The 24,069-nt window shown below is 40.6% G+C and overlaps 2 annotated features.

Moving 5' to 3' along the window:
• Positions 7,349-8,055: an enhancer, noted in NCBI's record as "NANOG-H3K27ac hESC enhancer chr3:134124670-134125376 (GRCh37/hg19 assembly coordinates)". NCBI's record gives its function as "activates a minimal SCP1, AML or CMV promoter by ChIP-STARR-seq in naive H9 embryonic stem cells {active_cell/tissue: H9 hESC(naive)}" and the evidence as "EXISTENCE:reporter gene assay evidence [ECO:0000049][PMID:30033119]".
• Positions 8,763-9,468: an enhancer, noted in NCBI's record as "NANOG-H3K27ac-H3K4me1 hESC enhancer chr3:134126084-134126789 (GRCh37/hg19 assembly coordinates)". NCBI's record gives its function as "activates a minimal SCP1, AML or CMV promoter by ChIP-STARR-seq in naive H9 embryonic stem cells {active_cell/tissue: H9 hESC(naive)}" and the evidence as "EXISTENCE:reporter gene assay evidence [ECO:0000049][PMID:30033119]".

The raw sequence follows: 24,069 nt of genomic DNA on the forward strand, positions 1-24,069 counted from the left end.
GTATCTGTTCAAATATTTTGTCCCTGTCCCCCTTTAAAATTGGGTTCTTTATTTTCTTATTGTTGAGTTTAAGAATTCTTTCTGTATTCTGGACAGAAGTCCTTTATCAGACATATACTTTGCAAATGTATTCTTTCAGCTGTGGCTTGTCTTTTTTGTATTCTTAATAGTGTATTTTGAAGAGCAAAAGTTTTAAATTTTGATGAAGTCCAACCTATCCACTTATTCTTTTATGGACTATGCTTTTGGTGTTGTATCTAAGAAACCAATCACCGACACAAGGTTGTGAATATTTACTCCTATGTTTTCTTCTAAGAGTTGTATAGCTTTAGCTCTTACATTAATGTCTATGATCCATTTTGAGTTAATTTTTATTAATGGCAAAAAGAGTGACTCCAAGTCCTTCTTTCCTTCCTTTCTTTCCTTTCTCTTCTTTCTTTCTTTTCTTTCTTTCTTTTCTTCCCTCCTTCCTTCCTTTCTTTTTCTTTCTTTCTTTCTTTCTTTCTTTCTTTCTTTCTTTCTTTCTTTCTTTCTTTCTTTCTTTCTTTCCTTCTTTCCTTCTTTCTTTCCTTCTTTCTTCCTTCCTTTCTTTCTTTCTTTCTTTCTTTCTTTCTTTCTTTCTTTCTTTCTTTCTTTCTTTCTTTTTCTTTCCCTGTTTTTTTGACTGAATCTCACTCTGTCACCCAGGCTGGAGTGCAGTGCTGCTATCTTGGCTCACTGCAACCTTCACCTCCTGGGTTCAAGCGATTCTCCTGCCTCATTTTCTGGAGTAGCTGGGATTACAAGTGCCCGCCACCACACCATGCTAATTTTCGTATTTTTAGTAGAGATGGGGTTTCTCTGTGTTGGCCAGGCTGGTCTCAAACTCCAGACCTCAGGTGATCCGCCTACCTCGGCCTCCCAAAGTGCTGGGAGTACAGGTGTGAGCCACCGCACCCGGCCCAAGTTCTTTTTTCTTCCTCCTCCTGCTCCTCCTCTTCTTCTTTGTTGTAGTCTCTATTTTGCATATGCTTTTCCAATTATTCCAGCACTGTTTGTTGAAAAGGCTATTCTTTCTCTACGGCATTACTTTCGAGCCTTTGTCAAAAAAATCAGTTGTTCATGCCCGAACAATTAGGCAAGAGAAAGAAATAAAGGGCATCCAAATTGGAAAGGAAGAAGTCAAATTAGCCTTGTATGCAGACAACGTGATTTTATATATAAAAAAACACAGACTCCGCCAAAAAACTGATAAAAGAACTCAATACAATTGCATGATATAAAATCAGCATACAAAAATTAGTAGCATTTATATATGCTGACAATCTGAAAAAGAAATCAAGAAAGTAATCTTATTTACAATAGCTACAAAAAATAAAAAATACCTAGGAATCAACTTAACTGAAGATATGAAAGAACTAACTCTTTAGGGAAAACTATAAAACATTGATGAAAGAAATTAAAGAAGACATTAAAAAATGGAAAAATGGAAAAATATTCCATGCTTATGGATTGGAAGAACTAATATTGTTAAAATGACAATACTACACAAAGGGATTTGCAAATTCAATGCAATCCCTATCAAAATACCAACAACAATATTCACAAAAACAGAAATAACAACACTAAAATTTACATGGAACCACAAAAGACCTTGAATAGCCAAAGCAATCCCAAGCAAAAAGAACAAAGCTGAGAAATCAAACTACTTGACTTCAAAATATGCTATGAAGCTATAGCAGCTACATCAGTATGATACTGGAATAAAAGCAGACACATAGGTAAATGGAACAGAGTAGAGAACCCAGATATAAATCGATGCATTTACAGCCAACTCATTTTTCACAAAGGCACCAAGAACATAGAATGGAGAAAGGACAGTCTTTTCAAGAAACGGTGCTGGGTAAACTGGATAACTATATGCAGAAGAATGAAAGTAGACCCCTAACTCTCACCATATGCAAAAATCAAATCAAAATGGATTAAAGACTTAAATCTAAGACCTGAAAGTATGAAACTACTAGAAGAAAACGTTGGGGGAAAACCTCCATGATATTGGTCTGGGCAAACATTTTTTGTGCAAGACATCAAAAGCACAAGCAACAAAAGCAAAACTAGACAAATAATAGTACATCAAGCTAAAAAGCTTTTGCACAGCATGGGAAATAATTAATAAAGTGAAGAGATAACCCAAAGAATGGTAGAAGCTATTTGCAAACTATCCACCTGACAAGGGATTAATAACCAGAATATATAAGGAGCTCAAACATCCTAGTAAAAAACCACAAATAATCTGAATAAAAAATGGGTGATATCCAAATAGATATTTCCCAAAAGAAGACATACAAATGGCTAACAAGAATATTTAAAGATGCACAACATAACTAATTATCAGAGAAATGTAAATCAAAACCATAATAAGATACCATCTCACCCCATTTAGAATGGCTTTTATCAAAAAGACAAGGAATAAGAGATGCTGGCCAGGATGTAGAGAAAGGGGGAACCCTCATACACTATTGGTGGGAATGTAATACACTATTGGTGGGAATGTAAATTAGTATAGCCATTATGAAGAGCAGTAGGGAGGTTTCTAAAAAAACTGAAAATAGAGCTACCATGTGACCCAGCAATTCCACTATTGGGTATATATCCAAAAGAAAGAAAATCGCTATATATTGAATATATCTGTTCCACTGATTTATTTGTTTATCTTTGCACCAATGCCATGCTGTTTTGATTATGGTAGCCTTATAATAATTTTTGAAATCAGATGTTAGTCCTCTGACTTCTAACCTCTTCTTCAGGGTTGTTTTTGGGTATTCTAGGTCCTTCCTATTTCCATATGGATTTTAGGATCAACTTGTCAATTTATTTAAAAAAAAAATCCTGCTGGGCTTTTAGGTAGGATTGCTTTGATTCTGTAGCTCTTAGCTATTTTGCTTTACTGCTTTCCCAGGCCTCAGTTCACTCCTCTGCAAAGTGGAGATGTTAATTTCTGCATTGCAAGGCGATTGGGAAGTTCAAATGGGCTGATACGGTAAAAATTCTGACATAGTGCTTGAGCACAGTAAATGCTGAAAAATGTTGGTTCTTTTATACCTTGTCAGAATGCAAAACCCTGCATTTTAAACTGAACCTTTCCTATAGATTTCCCTCTGTCACTTTTGGAAATCCACCATAACATCCTGGTCAGCAGTGAATATGACCTTTATCCTCTTCTCTCTTTGAAGTAGTCTCAAAAGTAATGGCTTCAGCATCTGTCTTCAGTATCAATCACCATAACAAAATGTGGGCATAAATTCCAGTCATTATCCTGCTGGACTTCCACAAGTCACAATCTCCAGACAGAATTCTTCCTCTCTAGGTTTGATTCTTTCCAAAGTTATCTGAAACCCAATCTATTAGTTAGGAATGTTTTCATTGGCAAGTGACAGAAAATTTGGCTAATGGTAGCTTAGACAAATAGGGACTTATTTCATTCATGCAACAAAAAGATTGGAGGTGGTTTCTGGTGTTGGTTCAGCTGGTTAGCAATATGACCAGAATAAGAAAGAACTTCTCTTTTTCTGGTTTGCAATATTTAGTCTGATGACTTTCACCATGGAGCTTGTTTTCTCAAGGTTAGAAGATGGCTGCCAGGGCTCCAGACAACACAACACCTTAAGTTAGGAAGAAAGATGTGGGAGAAATGGAAGCTTTCTTAGAACACCTTGCCACTCAACAGACTCCACTTCTTTCACACTGTCCAGAATAGGCTCACATGGCCACTCCTAGCTGCAAGGGAGTCTGGGAATGCAGGGAACAGGATTATTGTAATCCATTACTCAGGGCTGGACACATTCTCACCCTACACAAAGCCAGGACTCTATTAACAAAGAAGATGTGAAGAATGGATAGGTAGTTAGTGGACAGTGTATTTTACATTTAGTTTTCATAGCTGAAAGTAGAGATAATAATGAGATTATTGTGGGGATTAAATGAGGTGATGTATAGAAGGTGCTTAGCACTATGCCTGGCCCATGTTAAGTACTGAATAAATGGAAAATATAATTTTTATTACAGATATCTTCCTTGAAAATACACAAGGAATTCCTTCACTGTCCAAAGAACCCATTTGATCCTCAGTGAAATTAGCTCCTCACTCTGTGCATGAAATCTTTCCAACACTCTCCTCCATCCCTGACCACAAGGTGTTGCTCCAGCAGATGTGGGAGATAATTCATTGTGTTCAAGGGGGTGGTGCTGTGGTAGAGAACAGGGCAGACAAGGCTCCTGCCCTTGTGGGCAACAGGTAATAAATACGCAAGCATGCAGATAAACAGGGGTGAATATAATTAGTGATGAGGCTATGCAGGAAATACACTGGGTGAGCAGCTGTAGCCACTGGAGGAAGACTCTGTGACCAGAAATCCTGGGAAGGCCTCTCTGAGGACACACTGATTGAACTGAATCTTGAGGGATAAGCGGGTGCCTCCAAGGGAAGCCAAGAAAACAGCAACAGCAAAGACCTAGAGCTGTTATGAGGGTGGGTGCTCATGAAGAGGCTAGAAGGGGGTCAGATGGCCAGGAGCCTAACAAGAGTGGAGGAAGAGGAGGTATGAAATGTTGCAGAAAAGGACTAAGAGATGCAGTTTTGGAGGCCATGTGATATGGTTTGGCTGTGTCCCCACCCAAATCTCATCTTGAATTGCAGCTCCCATAATTCCCACGTATTGTGGGAAGGACCCAGTGGGAGATAATTGAATCATGGGGGCGGGTCTTTCCTGTGCTATTGTCATGACAGTAAATAAACCTCATGAGATCTGATGGTTTTATAAAAGGGAGTTTCCCTGCACAAGCTCTCTTATCTTGTCTGCCACCATGTAAGATGTGTCTTTTACTTTCTGCCATGATTGTGAGGCCTCCTCAGCCACATGGAACTGTGAGTCCATTAAACCTTTTTCTTTTGTAAATTGCCCAGTCTTGGGTATGTCTTTATCAGCAGCATGAAAATGAACTAATACACCATGGTAAGGAGTTTAGATTGTGTTTCAAGTGCAACATGGAGCCATCAATTAATTTTTAGCATAGGACAGATACGAGCTGATTTAAATTTTCAGATGGTCATTTTTACTGCTAATTCATTCATTCAACCACTATTTAATGAGTGCCAGGCAAAGTGCTAAGCACCAGGAAGAGAAATAAGATAGTGAGCAAAACAGAAAAATCTCTGCCCTTGTGAGTGATCAACCATCCCAGTTTTCCAGGAATTTCCTGGGACATAGTAATTTCAGTGCTAAAATAGGGACAGCCGTGGGCAAACTAGGGTGGTCACCCAACATGGAGCGTACATTATCTCTACTAGACACAGAAAATAAGCAGAATAAACAAGTAAATTGTATCATACGTTTGACAGTGATAAGTATGGGGATCTGAAAGTTTGAGTCAGGGGTGATGTTTTAGATAAGGTGACTAGGGGAAGTTTTCCTCAGAAAGAGCACTAGCAGTACAAATATTTGGGGGAAGAGCACTTCTGGGAGAGGGAACAGTCAATGCAAAGTCTCTGGGGCCAGTGTGTGCCTGCTGATGTTTGCAGAGCCGTAAGGAGGGCAGTGTGGCTGGAGCAAACCATGTGGGGGCCAGAGTATTAGGGAGGAAGTCAGAGAGGTAGGGGACCAAAGACAGGTTATGTAGGGCCTTGCAGAGCACCATAAGGACTTCAAATTTTCTCCGAGATGGCAGCTGTCAGAGGTTTGGAGCAGAGAAGTGACATGGCTTGACCTTTCACTCACGAGTATTGCTCTGGCTGTGTTGAGAAAAGCATGAAGGAAGCAAGTGCAGAAGCAAAGGGAGCAGTCAAGAAACTACAGCAGCCACCTGTAGGTGGGAGAGGTGCTGGGGACTTGGCCAGGGAGAAGCACATTCTGAAGGCAACATCATCTGTGTGGGTTGAACGTGGTGTGGATGGTGAGGGAGACGGTGGGTGAAAGGGGATCCTTTGCCTCTGGTTTGAGCAAGTGGGTAGAAGGAAGGGCCACTGATGAGATCAGGCTTGGGTTAGGGGTAGGGAAACAAGACTTCTATTTGAAGAAGTGTGTGAGATGTGCAAGTGGAGATATTGGAGGAAGAGAGTGCTGTGGGAACTCGGGACTGCTTGGAACTTAAGGGACAGCTGTGGACTGGAATGTAAGTTAGGGAATCCTTAGCAAATGCATGGTATTTAAAGCCATGGGGATGGGGAATGTAGAGAAGACAGACTGAAATATTGCTCCCAATTCTTTGCTCCCTGATAATACATACCTTTGCCACTATTTCGTGATGGATGGAGTGAACATTACCCTCTTTGACTTTGGATTGGGCCAAGTGACTTATTCAGCCAATAGGATGTTAGCAGATGTGACACTTGTGTAGTTTGGCTTGGCAGTTCATGCCTCTGACAAATCTTTCCTTTTCTTATTCAAGGTCTTCAAATTCTGTCCTTCGGCCCTTGCTAGACAAGGCGAGGGGATGAGAATAGTGCTTTGTGTCAAATAGTGATAACAGGGGTGCACAGCATTTCAGCGGGCCTGGAACACTTTTCTCATTTAGTCCTAATGAGCTCATGCTGTAGGTAGTCTTACACTAGTTTTACTGAGAAGGCAACCAAGGTTCAAAGAGAAAAAGAGTCTTGCACCAGGTCCCACAGCTGGCAGGAGATGGAAACCTAGGCCTTCTTGGGGCCAAGCAGGAACAGAAAAGCAAACACTGCTATCTGGGAACAGGGTGGAAGGGAGACTTGTTTTTCACTGAATAGCCATTTGTTCCTTTTGAATTCTGTAACAGGTATATGTGTTACACACAAACACACACACACACACACACACACACACACAGAAAAAGAGGAGAGAGAGAGAGAGAAGGAATAATATGTGATATTTACAAATATAGAGAAAGAACCCATCTGCGAACTGAAGGGTATGGTGAAAGGGAAGCAGAGAAGCACATTTTCCCCCCGTTTTTCCAGTTCTGTCCAAGAGTGGAGATCTGAGGTACAATATACTACCCACTTTCCAGTTCTGATTTCCAGTTGTGATTTCATCCTCACCAGGCCTCCCTTTGGATAGAGAATTATGGGCTGGAAGCACCAAGAGTTCTAAGGAGGAGAGCCCCAGTCTGCACGGAACTCTGCCCAGCCTTGTTAGAGTGTGCTTCTTGGGATCTGGAGCCTCTGGGGTGCTGGCACTCCCGTTCTTGGCGGCAGGGTCAAGAAACTGAGCAGGAGTTGGGGCTACTGCCCCAGGTAACCCCACTGAGGTGTCCGTCTGGAGAAGCTTTACCTGAGATACCAGCCCCAAATCTCCCACGTTGAGCCCTGACAGTTCTCTTTGCATGGAAATGGCTGTTAGTAATAGCTCAAATTGAGTGTGGGTCTCTTTTGTTTTAAATCCACAGAGAGATAAAGTTCACAGCTGTCCATAGCTCCTCCCATCTTTTTGCCTTGGCTTTCCCATCTATAAAAAGATGTGATGTGCTTGTTGTTTGTGTGTATGGGCGGGGGGGTGGGGGGGCGGCGGGGAGGGGAGGGCACAGTGAGATGAAGGAAAGGTTCTCAAACAGGCTGGGGAGATAGATACCTAGGAAGGAGGGAGGATTCGAATCTGCGGATCAAGGTTGTAGTTTGAAAGGCAAGCTCCACAATGACCATAGCTTTGTTTTATTTTCTTTTCGGTCGGGATATATTAAAACATTTTTAACTTTCCACTGACATGAAAGGAGGGTGTGTGATATTCAACAAATATGGGTACAGACTTCTGGGGGCAGCAGGCTGGCTGGTAGGACTTGAAAGGGCTGCATTTGCCATTTCAGAAAAGAGAAACTCTTCTTTCAACCCAGCATCCCAAGAGGCCCGGACAATGGGTATAAATTCGGAGGATCAGACGTGCAGGCAGACAAAACCAACATCTGCATTTGAAACGGGCTCCCGGGGCTCTTCAAGGAGGCGAGCGGCCGCTGCAGGGCTCCTCTAGGCCAGATTACATCCCAGAACGCCCAGGCAGGACGCTCCGGCTCAGATTGTGAACCCTGGGACTCTGCGTCCAGGAGGGGCCCCTAAACCCTGCGCTAAAAGCCAGAGGTCCGGGGAGCAGGCGGATGCCCTCAGACTTGGCTATTTTGCTTAAGGTCACCTCCAAACGGGACTGGAATAAACCCTCCTTGTTTGCCTCTCGCCAGGCCTAAGCCCCGGGTCCCCTTGGGTGTCGTCCAGGACGCCAGGCGCGGCTGCTTACAATGGCTCTCAGACGACAGATGGCGGGCAGGAAGGGAGGGGGCGCCGGGCAGGTGCGCGGGGGAGACGCGCCGCGGCAGCGCCGGACGCCAGGCTGCAGGGTGAATAGATTTGCAGCCCGCCGGCTGCAGGCGGCGGCCGCCGAGCCCTGCAAACAATAAGTGAATTCTCCGAAGCGACTGAAACCCCCCGGGCTGGGCCACGCGCCAGCCGGGGAGGGCGGACCATTGTGCTGCGCAGGCTGAAGCTGGCCCATTCCGTTGCGCGCGGAGCCCCCAAGGGCCCTGGGCCCGTGTCGGGGGCCAAAACCGAGTGTGCGATCGGGTACACAGCAGACTTTAGAAAGAAGTGGCGTCTGGTGTTGACTGATGAGCTCAATATCATAAGCCACCCGGGTCTGGGAGACCCAAGCGGGGCAGGCACTTAGAGTCCTGAGTCGGAGTTGGGAGCGAGAGCTGCAGCCCTGCCCTGCCACTCGGCAGGAGGGGTGGGGTGGGGGGCAGTCGGTGGGCTCCCTGAGCTGCTATGGAGAGGGCTCACCTTCACCACGTCCCTCTGGTTGTCAGGCTTTTACAACTACTGTGATGGGCTGTATCCCCTCTTTGTGCTTGATGTTTTATTTTAAACGAAATGAGTCAGAACTGGTAAGGCCGGTGGCCTGAAAGCAAGCCCTTTCTGATCATCCCTCTGGCCTGAAGCTTTCCTGAGGCCAGGAAGGCATTCTTGGGAGTCCTCAGTTAAGTGTAGTGTTGGGCCCTTAGGGAAATCATCTGCATCTTCTGGAGACATTGAGCAACTGGGCGAGTCCACTGCAGATGGAGGCAAGACCTCCCGGCACAAAGTGCCAGACTGTGTGTTGCTGAAGAGCCAATGGCAGCCCGAGTGACCAGGGCTGTGAATGTTGAAGGTCTGTGTGTGTCTGTGGCTTTGAGAAGAATAGGTGTGCTAGATGGGCCTTTAAGAAGTGCCACAGTGACCTTCCTCCCCTCACCCACACATTGTTGTGTAAATACTACACAACAAAGGAAACAAACATGCGGGGCTCTTATTTGGGGAGTAATACCCTCTAGTAAAGGCAGATTGGGCTCCAGACCCTCGCTCACCCAGATGCCTTTATGGAGGGGTTGCCTCCTGCAAGGAATCCCTTATCGTGGCTGCAATTCCTGTCCTGCCTTTCTCTAATAGCCCCATGGCTTTGTGTCCTTGCAATTGCTCAGCCGGACTGTTTCTAAAACATTATATGGTAACTCCTGCCTCCTTGTTTTTTTTAAATTATCTGTCTCTCTTCTGAGGTCTCTCCATGCCTATGCTATACATATGATATAGAGGTATGGCTTGTATAACCATGAAGAAGTCATTAAAACCAGTCATTTAACTAGTTTAATCATGATTATCATTCCTCCTTTTTTTCTTTAAAGCGATGCGTCACACCCTGTTAGGAGAAGATTCTGGTAACTCTGCTGTGAAGAGTAATAGAACACCAGAGTTGGAAGGGAAATTTCACATTTTTCTGGTGCAGTGTTTTCAGACTTTGTCATTCAAACATCACCTTTGTGAGTTCTGTAACATCAGGTACCACCTGTAATATTATTAATACTTTTCCATAAATCCAATTTTATACGTAAATTTCATTTTTAAAAAGTCACTTTAGAGGTGATTCTGGGGACATGGTAACTGGAATATGGTTTCCTTTCTTTCCACTTCCAAATGAATTTCTGTTCCTCTCAAGATAAACGGTTGTCGGAAACAGTAGAAAGAACAGAACTGGTAGTTCTTCCCCATCAGATCTGCAAATACTGAGGAGTCTCAAAGTAAAGTCTGAGAAGTGAGTGCTGGAGAGAGCTTGGACCCCAGAGACCAATGGAAGGTTAACATTGCACTAGATGAAGATACCTGGTCCCCTGCGCCCCATCCCAGAACTAAGAAGTTGTTGAACCAGGGGGCTAAGTTCCCTAGTTCCTGAGGTTGGGAGACCCTACAGAGCCCAGGTCAGAGAAGCCTTTTCCAGGTGCCTGCACAGGAGATGGGCAGTATCCCCGCATCTCTACATAGGACGGAGCTTTTCCCCTCCTTTTCCTCAATAGAACATCTGTCCTTTAGGGTGTTCCCATCCTCAGACCTGAACCCAGTGAGCTGGCAAAGAGAGGGCAGTCAGAAGGGACAAGCAAAACACACACCCAGTGACACAGTGGCTGAAAGAGACAGATGACAACATGAATTTAAAAAACAATTTTAAAAAGCCCCTGTAGATATGTAAATAGAGAAAAAAAAAAGACTTTACGAAGCTGTAAAAAAAATGTGATTTCCCAACTAAACAACTCATCAGATGACTTGAAAGAGAAAACGGTCACTACAATTGAGAGAGATGATTGGGATGGGAAATCAAGGTCAGCACTCAAGGGCACCTTAAAGCACAGAACAAAGATACAGAGATGTAAATTAGGGAAAAGATCAGTCTAGCAGGGTAGATCTAATGACCCAACATGCATGAATGGTAAGACTTCCAAAGGAGAAAAAGGAAGACATGAAAGAAATAATAAGCATAACAATAATTTTTAAAACCACCATTGTCCTGAGGCAAAGAAAGATGTGAGACTAAAGATGGGAGATTGAAAGAACTTGTTGATTTTCAGGCTGAATGGATAAGAAATGACCTAGACCTATTTCTAAACTCTAAGGATAAAGAGAAAACTGTTACAACATCCAGATAATTACTTTAACTTACCTAAAAAGAGAAAAGAATCAGACTGGCGTTAGACTTCCCTTCCAGTACTAGAAACTAGAGACCAGTGAAATAGACTCTATAGGACCACACCTGATCAAGTGATTCACTTGTTACGGAAAAAGAAAAATATTGAGGCTAATGTTATTTCATGAAAATATTCAAGAAAAGGTGTTCCCCCAGAATAAATGAACCAACCGAGAATAAACTGGAAAAGTAGAATGGAATTTTCAAATTAACAAGGGGAAAAATAGAAGCCAGCAAAAATAAGAAAAAGCAAAAAGAGGGAAGAAAACAATTACTGCCCATCCTTATTATTCTAGGATTCTGCATTTGTGAATACACCTACTCACTAAATTTTATTTGTAACCCTAAAAATCAATACTTGGAGAGCACTCATGATCATTTGTGGACATACACAAGAGCAGCGAAAAATTTGAGTCACTCAACAGGCACTTTCCCAGCTGAGGTTGAACAAGGCAATGCTCCACCTTCTTGTTTCACTTCTCATGCTGTAAATGACAGTTCTTTTCTCAGACTGCTTAGTGTCATCTTTGTGTGTTTTTTGCTGGTGACTTCTGTGAAAATTGATTATATAAACTGAGTCACTCTTGTCATATGCAACTATTAGGTTGGTGCAAAAATAATTGCTGTTTTTGCCATCACTTTTAATGGCTAAAGCAGCAATTACTTTTGCACCAACTTAATACATCAGCGTTGAGGGGCTGGGGGGAAAAGCACTAATAATTGCACATAGCACCAGCTCTAATAGTTGAATTTGCTGCAAGTCCAGTTGCTGAAATAGCCTGTAGTAACTCTAAGACGAGTTTTACCTAGTAGCTGCTGAAACAACCTGTCTTGACTCAAAGATTTGTTTTATCTGCCTCCTTCACTCACCCATCAGAGCTTGCCAGTTCCCAAAAGCTTCTCTAGCAATGAGCTGTTTTCAAAACAGTAGGTATCATGGCTTTTTCTAGTAAGACCCCCAAACTTCCGTTTGTTTTTCAGACATACTGAAGGCCATCCCAGTCTGTGCGTATGCTCTGAATTGCAATTCTGTGCTTCCTAAATAAAACGCTGAATTTAAAGATTCATTGCTATGTTTTATTTTGACTTTCACATCTCCTTAAAAATGGCCCCCAAGTGTAGTGCTGAGGTGCTGTCTAGTGTTCCTGTGTGCAAGAGGCTGTGATGAGCCACGTGGAGAAAACACACATGTTAGACAAACTTTGTTCAGGCATATGTTGCAGTGCTGTTGGCTGTGAGTTCAATGTTAACAAGTCAATGATATATATTAAATAAGGTGTCTTTAAGCAGAAACACACCCACGACAAAGTTACGCATTAATTGGTTGATGAAATGTAACCCAGAGAGTCACAGAAACCTAACCCTCTATTTCTCCTAGGAGGAATGGTTCAACATTCACTATTTAGCATTTTCAGTGACTCTGTAAAACAAAACCGCTGTGAATAATGACAAGCGGCTGTCTTAATACACATAAAGTAGGATGGAAGGAAGATTATTCAGTAAATTAACTACGTCCTTAAATGTGGCTGAACTAAATACTTCAGTTTTTTTAAGGCCTTATAATGTTTACAAGAAATATCTAACACGATGTGATGATAAAATGGTTAAAAATAAGAGTGTCTATAAAGAGGTATCTTTTTGATAACTTTTTTTAGACAAAAGAATGTAATAGACAATTAATCGGCAATATTAATCAGACAAGTTGGAATTTAAGGCTAAAAGCATAAAAAGATTAAGGAGGGAAATTGTGACATGAATAGAGCATAATAAACATAAACTGGTGTGCAACAGACAGCATAGCAAGCAGCTAAATAGATAAAAAAAGATACGACTACTAAGTGTGATAAAAACACAGATATATAGAGAGAATTTTAATACAATTCTCATAACTAAAGGGATCAGATTGAAAAATTGATAAGGCATTGTCAAAAAATTATCCAAAACTTAAAAATAAGGCAGACATTTGGTTATCATGTCTTTCCAAAGTCATATGGGGCACTGAGCCATCCAAAGGATATTTAGTGATTTAGGGTGAATGTACTTTAGTCAACCCATTCCTTATTATTGATTAAAGATCTTACACATAGAATGGTTACATTTTAACCTGTATATTTTTGTCTAGTAAATATTCAAATAATTTCTGACTTGTAGAAAAGATAACCTTAAAGGTTAAGATTTATTGCCTTATAGAACATTAACCAGTTTTGTACCTAATCAGACAATCTTACTGCAACATTCCTTCATTAAATTTCCTTTAAATATCCAGTCCTCAAATTTCCTTTGAATCATCTTTCTTTCTTTCTTTTTTTTGGAGATCAAGTCTTGCTCTGTCACCCAGGCTGGAGTTCAGTGGTGCAATCACAGCTCACTGCAGCCTTGAATTCCTAGGCTTAAGTGATCCTCCTGCTTTGGCCTCCAAGTAGCTGGGACTATAGGTATGTGCCACTACACCTGGCTGTCATACTTTTAACTTTTTGAAAATTATACTTATTCATAAAGAGGAATCAACTAATATATTCAATTCCTCAATTCAATAGCCAAACAGAATCTTCATTTTTTTGAGTAAATTGTATATATTCATGGAACAATTGCAAAAACTTAGCTTGTACTTGATGAAAACTTTAACACATTTTATTAAGTACCTGTTTTATGAACTACATTCTCTGATCATAATTCAATAAAATCAGTCATAAGTAGTTAAGGGGTGACCAAAAAATCAAATCCATCAGAAAATTAGGAAACATGCTCTTTGAAAACGTTTGTATGTCATCAGGGAACTGCAAATTAAAACAGCTACAAGGTAACTGTTAGAAAGGCCAAAATCCAGAACACCGACAACACAAATACTGGTGAGGATGTGGACTAACAGGAACTCTCTTATTCATTGCTGGCAGGAATGGAAAATGGTACAGCTACTTTGGAAGAATTTGGCGGTTTCTCAAAAAACTAAACATACTCTTGCCATACAATTCAGTAACTTAGTATTTACCCAGATGAGTTAAAAACTTCTGTGCACTCAAGAACTGCCACATGGATGTTTATAGCAGCTTTATTCATGATTGATAAAATTCGAGAGCAAACAACTTGTCCTTCAGTAGGTGAATGCATAAATAAACTGTGATACATCCAGAAAGTGGAATACTATTCATGCTAAAAATAAATGACCCATTAAGCCAAGAAAACACATGAAAGAATCTTAAATGCATATTTCTAAGTGAAAGAAGGCCATCTGAAAAGACTAAGTACTGTATGATTCCAATTATTTGGCGTTCTAGAAAGGCAAAACTGGAGACAATGAAAAGACCAGTGGTTCCTAGGGGTTGAGGGGAGGGAGGGATGAATAGGCAGAGTACAGAGGATTTTTAGGGCAGTGAACTATTGTGTATGACACCATAATGGTGATGCATGTCATTACACATTTGTCCAAACTCATAGAATATACAACACCAAGAGTGAACCCTAATGTAAACTAGGGACTTTGGATGATAATGATGTGTCAATGTGGGTTCAGAGATTGTAACAAATGTAGCACTTTGGTGTGGGATGTTGACAGTGGTGGAGACAGCCTTGGCGGGGCAGGGATGGGATGGAGCAGAGGGTATATAGGGACTCTGTACTGTTCTCTCAATTTTTATCTGCAATTTATATATATATATATATATATATTTTTTTACCCAATATTTCCAATATTTGTTGTGTGTATATATATGTATGTATATATATATTATATATACCCAAAAAATGAAGACTCTATTTGGCTATTGAATTGAGGTAATTAAATATATTAGTTGATTCCTCTTCATGAATAAGTATAATTTTCAAAAAGTTAAAAGTATGACAACCAGGTGTAGTGGCTCATACCTACACACACACACACACACACACACACACACACACACACACAAATAATGGGTAAAAACAATTGAAAGTTATATTATAAACTATCTAGAGTGCAATGATCTATTTCAATCATACCAAAACCAGTAGAACACAATGAAAGCTTCACTTACAGGAAATTTTATAACTTAAAGTGCCTTCATTATTTAAGAAGAAAAATGAAAAATAAAGGAACTAAATATTAATGTTATTAATTAGAAAAGCAAAATAAACCAAGAGAAATAAAAAACTGGATCTTAGTTGTAAAGAGAAAAGAAACAAGAAAAAGGGAATTAAAAAAGATCAAAATTGAAATCAGTAAAGTAGAAACAAACAAAAAAATGATCAAAGGACAAAGAAACTTCAGAATGGGTTTTTTGAAAACGTGAATGAAATAAATCTTTTCACAAACTTGATCTTAATCCTTAGACCAAAGGAAGGAGAGTGCAAAACCATGACTAGAAAGGAGAAAGGAAACATAACTGCAGATGAGATTAAAATAATTATAAAGAATATTGGGGCTGGGCACTGTGGCTCACACCTGTAATCCCAGCACTTTGGGAGGCTGAGGTGGGCAGATCACCTGAGGTCGGGAGTTCGAGACCAGCCTGACCAACATGGTGAAACCCTGTCTCTGCTAAAAATACAAAAATTAGCCAGGCATGATGGTGCACACCTATAATCCCAGTACTCAGGAGGCTGAGGCAGAAGAATTGCTTGAACCTGAGAGGCAGAGGTTGGAGTGAGCCAACAGTATGCCACTTCACCCCAGCCTGGGCAATACAGTGAGACTCTATCTCAAAAAAAATTAAATAAAATAAAATAATTATAAAGAATATTACACATAAGTTTTCAATAACAAATTTAAAAACTTAGAGAAAATGGATAATTTTCTGGAAACAAATTTCCAAAATTGGTCCTAGAAAAAGTATAAAATTTGAAAAGACCAATTCCTACCAATTACCATGATAGGAAATGTGGTAAAATATCTACTACTGAAGAACATACTAGTATCAGATGGGTTAATGGCTGAGTTTTTGTGTTTTTCTTTTTGATCTTTAAAGAAAATCAGCCCATTGAAAAAGAGAGAATGTTTCCAATTCATTTAATAAAGCTGACTGTATTAGTGAGGTCCTGCTGCAAGAATGCTACATAACAATCTTAAACAAACAAACAAACATACAAAATCTCAGTGGCTTTTCACACAGGCTACGGGTCTGTCCATCATCCAAAGCTTGGCTGGGCTTGGTTAGACTTGGCTTCAGGCTACAGGTTGGGGTTACTTCTGGTCCACATGCTGTCTCCAGAGAAATGGTCTTCTCAAGGAGAAGGATAACACTGTAAGAAGTCAAGCCAAACCAAGGCTGAATGTGACATCTGTTGTGTTTGCTCACATTACACTGGCCAAAGCAACTCACAAACTATCAGTGGACTGGGGGTGTATACTCCATCCTTAATGAAGCCACAGCAAAGGTGGGAGTTGGAGGCCAGGGGAATGAAAGAACTGTAACTGTACAATAATCCTATTTAGTAGCCTGTCTAACCAGAAGACCAAACTTTACTTTTTAATGTAATTGCAAAAACTCTAAATAAATATGTTATCAAATAATAGAAATGTTCTCTATCTTGACCTGAGTAGTGGTTACATAATTGTTTCCTCACTTATGATTTGTGCTTTTTCTGTAAGTATGATATTCAACAAAAAGTCTAAAAAGTACACTAGAAAATTAAATCTAAGCCCAGACAACTGACAGGTGACCCACAGACCTGTGAGTAAGAACTAAATGGTTTGTTGTTGAAAGTCACTGAATTTTTTTAACAGCAGCTTGCTAAAAGGTAAGCTTCATGAGGTCAGAAATTTTATATTTTTTTCACTGTTGTGGATATAAACAATGCCTACAATATAGTAAGCAGTCCACAAATATTTGTCACTAGCAAAGAAAGTAACAAATAAATACCAGCAAAATATTTAAAAAAGTATTTTGACCAAACAGATTTTTTTCTAAGCAAAAATGTCAGGAACTCCATTCAACATAATTTATTACATTAGCAAGTTAAAGGCGAAAGATCATATGATCATATTAACGGATACTGCAAAGACTTGGTAAAATTCAATAGCCATCCTAAAAAAATCATACTAAAATAGAAGTAGAAAGAAAACTAAATATTTAAAAAGACTATTTGTCAAAATCCAATGGGAAATGTTATTAAATAGGGAAACACTGAAATAATTTCAATTAAAGTTAGGAACTTGACAGGGATGTCTGCTCTCACCACTACTGTCCAACATCAATTTGGAGGTTCTAACAGATGCAATAATAGGAAAATATTAAATGATTGTTATAAACAAAATTAAAACTATATATCTTTTTCTGGTTATGTTACAGTTCACGCGGAAAATCCAAAAGATTTTAAAGAAAAAAATCTGCTGGAATTAGTAAGATAATTTAGAAGATGGCTTGACAGATAATATATCTGTCAAAATCGTTTTCCCTTATTTCCACAAAAAGCATCTAGATATAGAAGCAGAAAATGTTTTTCATTACAAGGGTGGCAAATGTTACATGGTGCCTAGAATAAATTTAGCATAAAAAAAACCCAGTCGGCCAGGAGCAGTGGCTCACACCGGTAATCCCAGCACTTTGGGAGGCTGAGGCAGCCAGACCACCTGAGGTCGGGAGTTCGAGACCAGCCTGACCAACATAGAGAAACCCCATTTCTACTAAAAGTGCAAAATCAGCCGGGCATGGTGGCACATGCTTGTAATCCCAGCTACTTGGGAGGCTGAGGCAGGAGAATTGCTTGAACCTGGGAGGCGGAGGTTGCGGTGAGACGAGATCGCGCCATTGCACTCCAGCCTGGGCAACAAGAGCGAAACTCCATCTCAAAAAAAAAAAAAAAGCAAGCAAAAGAAAACAACACACACACAGTGTATTTGTAGAAAACTATAAAATCTTATTGAAAAATATAACATATTCTTGTTTGGGATGGCAATATCGTAAACTATTAATTCTCCATCATTAAAATATAAATTTAATGGTTAATTTTTCATAGGAATATTTGAATGGGATAAATGCTTTTAATGATTATAAAGATTAAACTGTATATAAATAGGTGAGGTATCTTTAGCAGGTAACAAAATGTAATACAAAGTCAGTGTAGTCAAATTACTATGGTATTGGCATAGGAATAGACACAGAAAAGTGGACCAGATTAGGCAGGCAGTCTATGAATAGATTCCAGATTATACGAGAATTTATTATGAATATATTTATTATTTATTCAGTGGGATATGAAATAGGTTATTGGCACTACAGGCTATCTATCTGGAAAAAATAAAAGTTGTACAGTACTTCTTCTATCGTATCAAAAAAATAAATTTAGATTGATCATACAAAGCAAAGAAATTCCTGCAAAAAAATCTAGATCACTCTTCATACAATTTAGGATAGTCCTTCTTAACCAGCACTAGCTAGAAAAGATAGACATATTTGACTGTACATAGAATGTAAAGCTTTTGCATGGCTAAAGTACTTCGAATAACAGATTATTCCAATATATTCTTAAAAAAATTTAACATAGCCAGGCACGGTGGCTCACACCTGTAATCCCAATAGTTTGGGAGGCTGAGGAAGGTGGATCACAAGGCCAGGAGTTCAAGACCAGCCTGGCCAACATGGTGAAACCCCGTCTCTAGTAAAATACAAAAATTAGCTGGGTGTGGTGGCAGGCACCTGTAATCCCAGCTACTCGGGAGGCTGAGGCAGAAGAATTGCTTGAACCTGGGAGGTGGAGGTTGCAGTGAGCCAAGATTGTGCCACTGCACTCCAGCCTGGGTGACAGAGTGAGACTCTGTCTCAAAAAAACAAAATAAAACAACAAAAATAAACGGCCAGGCGCGGTGGCTCATACCTGTAATCCCAACACTTTGGGAGGCCGAGGCAGGCGGATCACCTGAGGTCAGGAGTTTGAGAACAGCCTGACCAACATGGAGGAACCCCATCTCTACTAAAAATACAAAATTAGCTGGGTGTGGTGGTACATGCCTGTAGTCCCAGCTACTCGGGAGGCTGAGGCAGAATAGCTTGAACCCAGGAGGCAGAGGTTGTGGTGAGCCAAAATACAGTGCCATTGCACTCCAACCTGGGCAACAAGAGCTAAATTCCGTCTCAAAAAAAAAAAATTAATATAATTGCCAAAGAGTCATATCTACAATATACTAAGCGCTTTTACAAATTGATAAGTAAAAGATGACCCAAAAGAAAAAAAATGGGCAAAGGATATGAAGAGGAAGTTTAGAATGACCAAGAAACAAAAGAGAAAATGTTGAAAAACACCAACCATCAAGGTAACGCAAACTAAACTAAAAAATAAAATCTTACTTTTGCTCATTTGACGAGCAAAAATTAAGAAGGTATAGCATGGATTGCTGGAGGAGGTTGAGGAAAGAGGCACTATCCTACGGACCTGGTGGAAATGTGACTTGCTATAGGTTTTTGGGAATATAATCTATGAACATCTATTAAAATAAAAATACAGTTCCCCTTTGACCAGAAATCCCATTCCTGAGGATCTATCACTTAGAAATTGAACAATGAATGTGTCAAGGCATACATGTGAGAATGTTTCTAGCAGCATTGTTTATGAAGGGCAAGAATCAGAATCAGTGTGAATGCATGATACATAGGAAGGATGGTTGAAGTAATTGTGATACATCTACACCATAGTATATACACGGTACATATGGCTTCTAAAGATGAATAAGAGCCATAGCAGTGGACTTGGAAGATTTCTGAGAGTTTTTTTTGAATGAATAAAGCAAAATGCAGGATAGTGTGTACAACATGATTTCATTTTTTTGTGAGAGCAAAGAGTGCCGAAGTTTATATGTATAAATTTGTTTAAGCCAAAGAAAACCACCGTAATTTTTTATATAAAGAAAAGAAACCCCTCCAATTCTCTGCTAATAGTCAGAGGTGTTTATCTGTACTCAGTTTATTTCTGCTGTTTAAGTGAGAGTTCATTTGCAGAGCACATGCCCAATTTGATCACCTTTAATACAACATTTGCAGGTACCATATGTTTCTTTGGTTTGACTCTTCCAATATCTGGGAAGGTTAATCCAGAGATGTTTACTTAAAACACACTTTCCACCCCAATTTTTGCTCTTCTCTCCCAGTGAAAAAATGAACACACTTTTTAATGAAAAAATAAAAACTAAAAAGGAAACTATATTTTCACTGTAAGTAGAAAACCAGTAGTACCAAAAATAAATAAAAGGTAGAAGAAAAAAATTAAAATAATAAAATCAAAATGATGTTATTCAATCCCAACTCCTACTGCCAGCAGAGGCTAGGACCTAAGACCTGCTCTATCTGTCACAAAAGGAGATTAGAAAGCATTAGAAACATATGAGAGGCCCACCAGCACCAAATTGAGACTTTCTCCCCTATAGTATCAAAGGACGGAAAGAGAGTTGCAAAGGAAGTAATTCTTTCAGTGTCTACTTCACTGTCATTTGATGCCCTGCTCATATGCCACCTGAAATCCCTGGTGGCATAGCTTTAGCACCCAGGAAAATGCTGAGAAATCAAATGTTGATTTTGTCTAATTCTTATTTCTTCAATTAATAAACCAACCCCAGAAGGGTGTGGTTCTTCCTGCAAAGGCAAACATCTGGATGATGGTGTGTTCTTTCTGCCACATCAGGCTGGTTCTTCCTGAAAAGGCTGAATTCTTTGTAGACATTTTAAAGAAGAAGCAAAATCAGGAGATGACATAGATGAGAACAGAACATTTGGTTCTATTCTTGGCTGGTCATGAAAAATAACTCCTCATTCCTCTCCTTTCACTCACTTAGAAAAATACTCTTATTTATATGAAAGTTAAAATAGATGTTCAGGTGGTAGCATGGAATATATAAATGTCCTTCGAGGAGAAAAATGTCCATCAAGAAACCATTTAAAGTGCTTTGTCTTGTTTCTCAAGGCAGGGAAGGAATGTAAGAATAGAACTCACGGAAGCAAGTGTTCCAAATAGAAGAGTGATGGCAGGGTAATTATAATGGGGTGGGTAATTATGGTTTTCCAGGAAGTGCCAAAATTACAGGGCAAAGTGTCATTTTCATGTTAGATCCTCCTGAGAAAAATAATACAGGCATTTGTCATCTGGGCACACCTGGGTGCCTTGTCCAGGGTGAAGACAGATTTGTTTCAGGGTCTTGTGGCTGCCCTTCTCCCTCCTTCAGCACCCTGTCACCTGACCTAAGAAGTGGCCATCCATGACTTGCCCTGCCTCCCTGACTCTATAGTGAGGTGACACTATTCACCAGTCCCTTGTCTGCCTTCTCTCTGGCTCCAAGATGAAATGGTGGGAAAGTCAACACCGATGAGGTCATGGAGAGCAGGCAGCCTGAAAGAGCAGATTCTCCTTCCCCTCCCCTCTGCACAAAGGCAACCTTTCATTCCCTTGGAAAAACCCACCGTGGCCCTCTCGTGAAGAAACTGCCATCCCCAGGACTCCTGTTTACTTAGCTCTCACCTGGGAGGCCAGAGCTGGCTGACACAGATGCCACACTTTTAAAGCCATATTGACCTCAAGTTGGCAGAGTGGAAAAGTAAGAGTTTGTGTGAGGGGCCGCCACGGGGAAGGCCCATGGAATTTTCCTGCATCCATTTTGACTGCAACTGTAGCAGCTGCTTCACACGCAGTTGTTTTGATGTGAGGACCTTTCGACTCAGCCTAAAATCCAACCATTAAACTTTAGGCTTAAAAAAAAAGACCAAGTACGTAGACATTCTTTCCTGAGCCTCACCCCTAAGTAGGTTGAGAGTCAGGACTGGAGTAAAGGTTATGAGAGTCTGTTTTGTATGTTGACTGATTATTTTAAGAAACAGTGTTTTATGCTTTGACATAACCTGTCAAAATGTCAAGAAGGTAGCATCTGAGTGGGCACAGCCAAACATCCAGCTTCTCATCCAGCCTACACCTGCCCTCTCACACACCACCCCCTCTCTCATATTGCCTGCTGCATCGACACAGTGTAAACTCCTTAGAGGCATGCAATGCTTCCTCTGAATCTCCAGCAGGTATATAGCTGCTCAGTGAGTACTCATTTGACTGATAAAATAAAATATACTGATGTTGTTAGGACTTTCCCCATCTCTGAAAAGCAAAGCAAAGAAACAAAGAAAGATCCCTAGACCAGTGGTTTCTCCAAACTCTTTGACCACAACTTATAATTAAAAAAAACAAAACAACCATTTAATTTTGCAACCCAGGAAGTAGAGCCTCTCTCTCTCTCCCTCAATCTCTCTCTCTCTCTCTCTCTCAGACACACACACACACACACACACACACCATTGATATAAAAGTTTAATGGAGAACAAAGAGAAGGTATGGTTATCAGAACCTAGATGAAGCTGGTTCTAGGAATTTGTAAAGAAATTGGGGGCTGGAACCCAATGCTGCTGCACAGGGCAAGGCCCATTTCTAAGACAGAAAGCAAAAAGGAAGGAACAAGTTCTACCTTTATCTAGCACCTCCTGTTAGTGAAGCCCAACAGAGACCAAGTTAGCTAAAGGAAGATGCAGTGTGTGGAGTCCTACTCCCAGCATCAAAAAGAGCATAAGGAGATGAATGTGCAGCAGAGAGATAATGACATAATGACCAACAGAGTCTACCTCTTTAGCTACTGAACACCGATATACACACCCTTTTGTTAATACTTCAACTTCCATATAACAATTACAACTGTATGCTTCCATATAATAAGATCCAACTCTCTGTTCTTCATAAGAACAAAGATGCTCTCAACCTCTATCAAAATCAGGATACAAAACATCCCCCCGTTATTGTAACCATCTCTGGGTAGTAGTCATAGAACCTACCTCTGGGTGATGTTAATTATTTCTCTAATTCTGTCATAGTCCTACCCAATTACTTCATAACCTAAGACCAAATTTTACAGGTAACTACCAATGGCAATCCTCACATAAAATAAAAATGGGAGGAAGAATGGAGGAATACACACACGCACACACACACAAGCATAGCTGCTACAGTCTCAGATGGCTGGGGTTCTTGACCTGATGGGCTGACCCAAACCTTTGTGCCTAGGTGGTCTGAGTCCTCAGTGGCCCTGATGTGTTTTTGGTTGTTGAAATTTTTCATTAACTTTTACCGTCTTATGCTTCCATATAATAAGATGCAATTATCCTTCAGAAAAACAAAGATGCACTCAACCTCCATCAAAATCAGGATACAAAACATCCTACCTTTCTGGTATCCATCTCTGGGCAGTAGTCATAGGACATGGACATAGATATACCAAGAAGCACCCTAGGACATCCTCTGAGTTCCAGGCATAGTGCCCCTTACCATAGTGCTACCATGTGTAGCAATAACCCAGTTTCCCCTTGGTAATCAGGATCAGTCATCCTAGCCTGTAAAGTAACCCCTTTTTCTGCCTGCTGGCTCAGTAGCACAAGGATCCCCAAATGGCCACATGGCAGTCCCATCTTCCATTCTAATGGAATCAGTGTTTGTGTCTCCTGGTAGAGTGCCCTCCCTTTGGGGACTAAGACCTCCAAACCAGCAGGGCTCTAAGTTGGGATGGGAAGCAACATTGCTGATGGATTATTGGCTGTAATAGTGAGAGGAGTCACTCATACTTCTGCCCTTGATTCCCAGACTTCAGTATCTTGGCTATGGGGAAAGCAGCATCATATACTCGTTGTTGAGTCAAAGCCTATGCTGGGTGTTTTCTCCCAACTGGAGCTGTGACTGGGTTTTCAGCAGGCCCTTCCACTATCCTATCTGGCCTGCTGCTTCTGGGTGATGGGGCATGTGGTAAGACCAGTGAATCCCAAGGGCACAAAGCCTTTGCTATACTTCTTTTGTTGTCAAGTAAGTTCTTTCTATAGCTAGTGATACAGTTTGGATATTTGTCCCCACCAAATCTCATGTTGTAATGTAATACCCAGTGTTGGAGGAGGGACCTGGTGGGAGATGATTGGATCATGTGGGTGGATTTCTCATCAATGGGCTAGCACCATCCCCCTGGTGTTGTCCTCACAATAGAGAATGATTTCTAGCAAGATCAGGTTGTTTAAAAGTGTGTGGCACTCTCCCCCTCTCCTTCTCTTGCTCCTGCTCTCTCCATGTGAGACACCTGCTCCCCTTTCCCCTTCTGCCATTACTGGAAGCTTCCTGAGGT

This window comes from Homo sapiens, chromosome 3 (assembly GCF_000001405.40).
Source record: "Homo sapiens chromosome 3, GRCh38.p14 Primary Assembly".
Classification (NCBI taxonomy): Eukaryota; Metazoa; Chordata; class Mammalia; order Primates; family Hominidae; genus Homo; species Homo sapiens.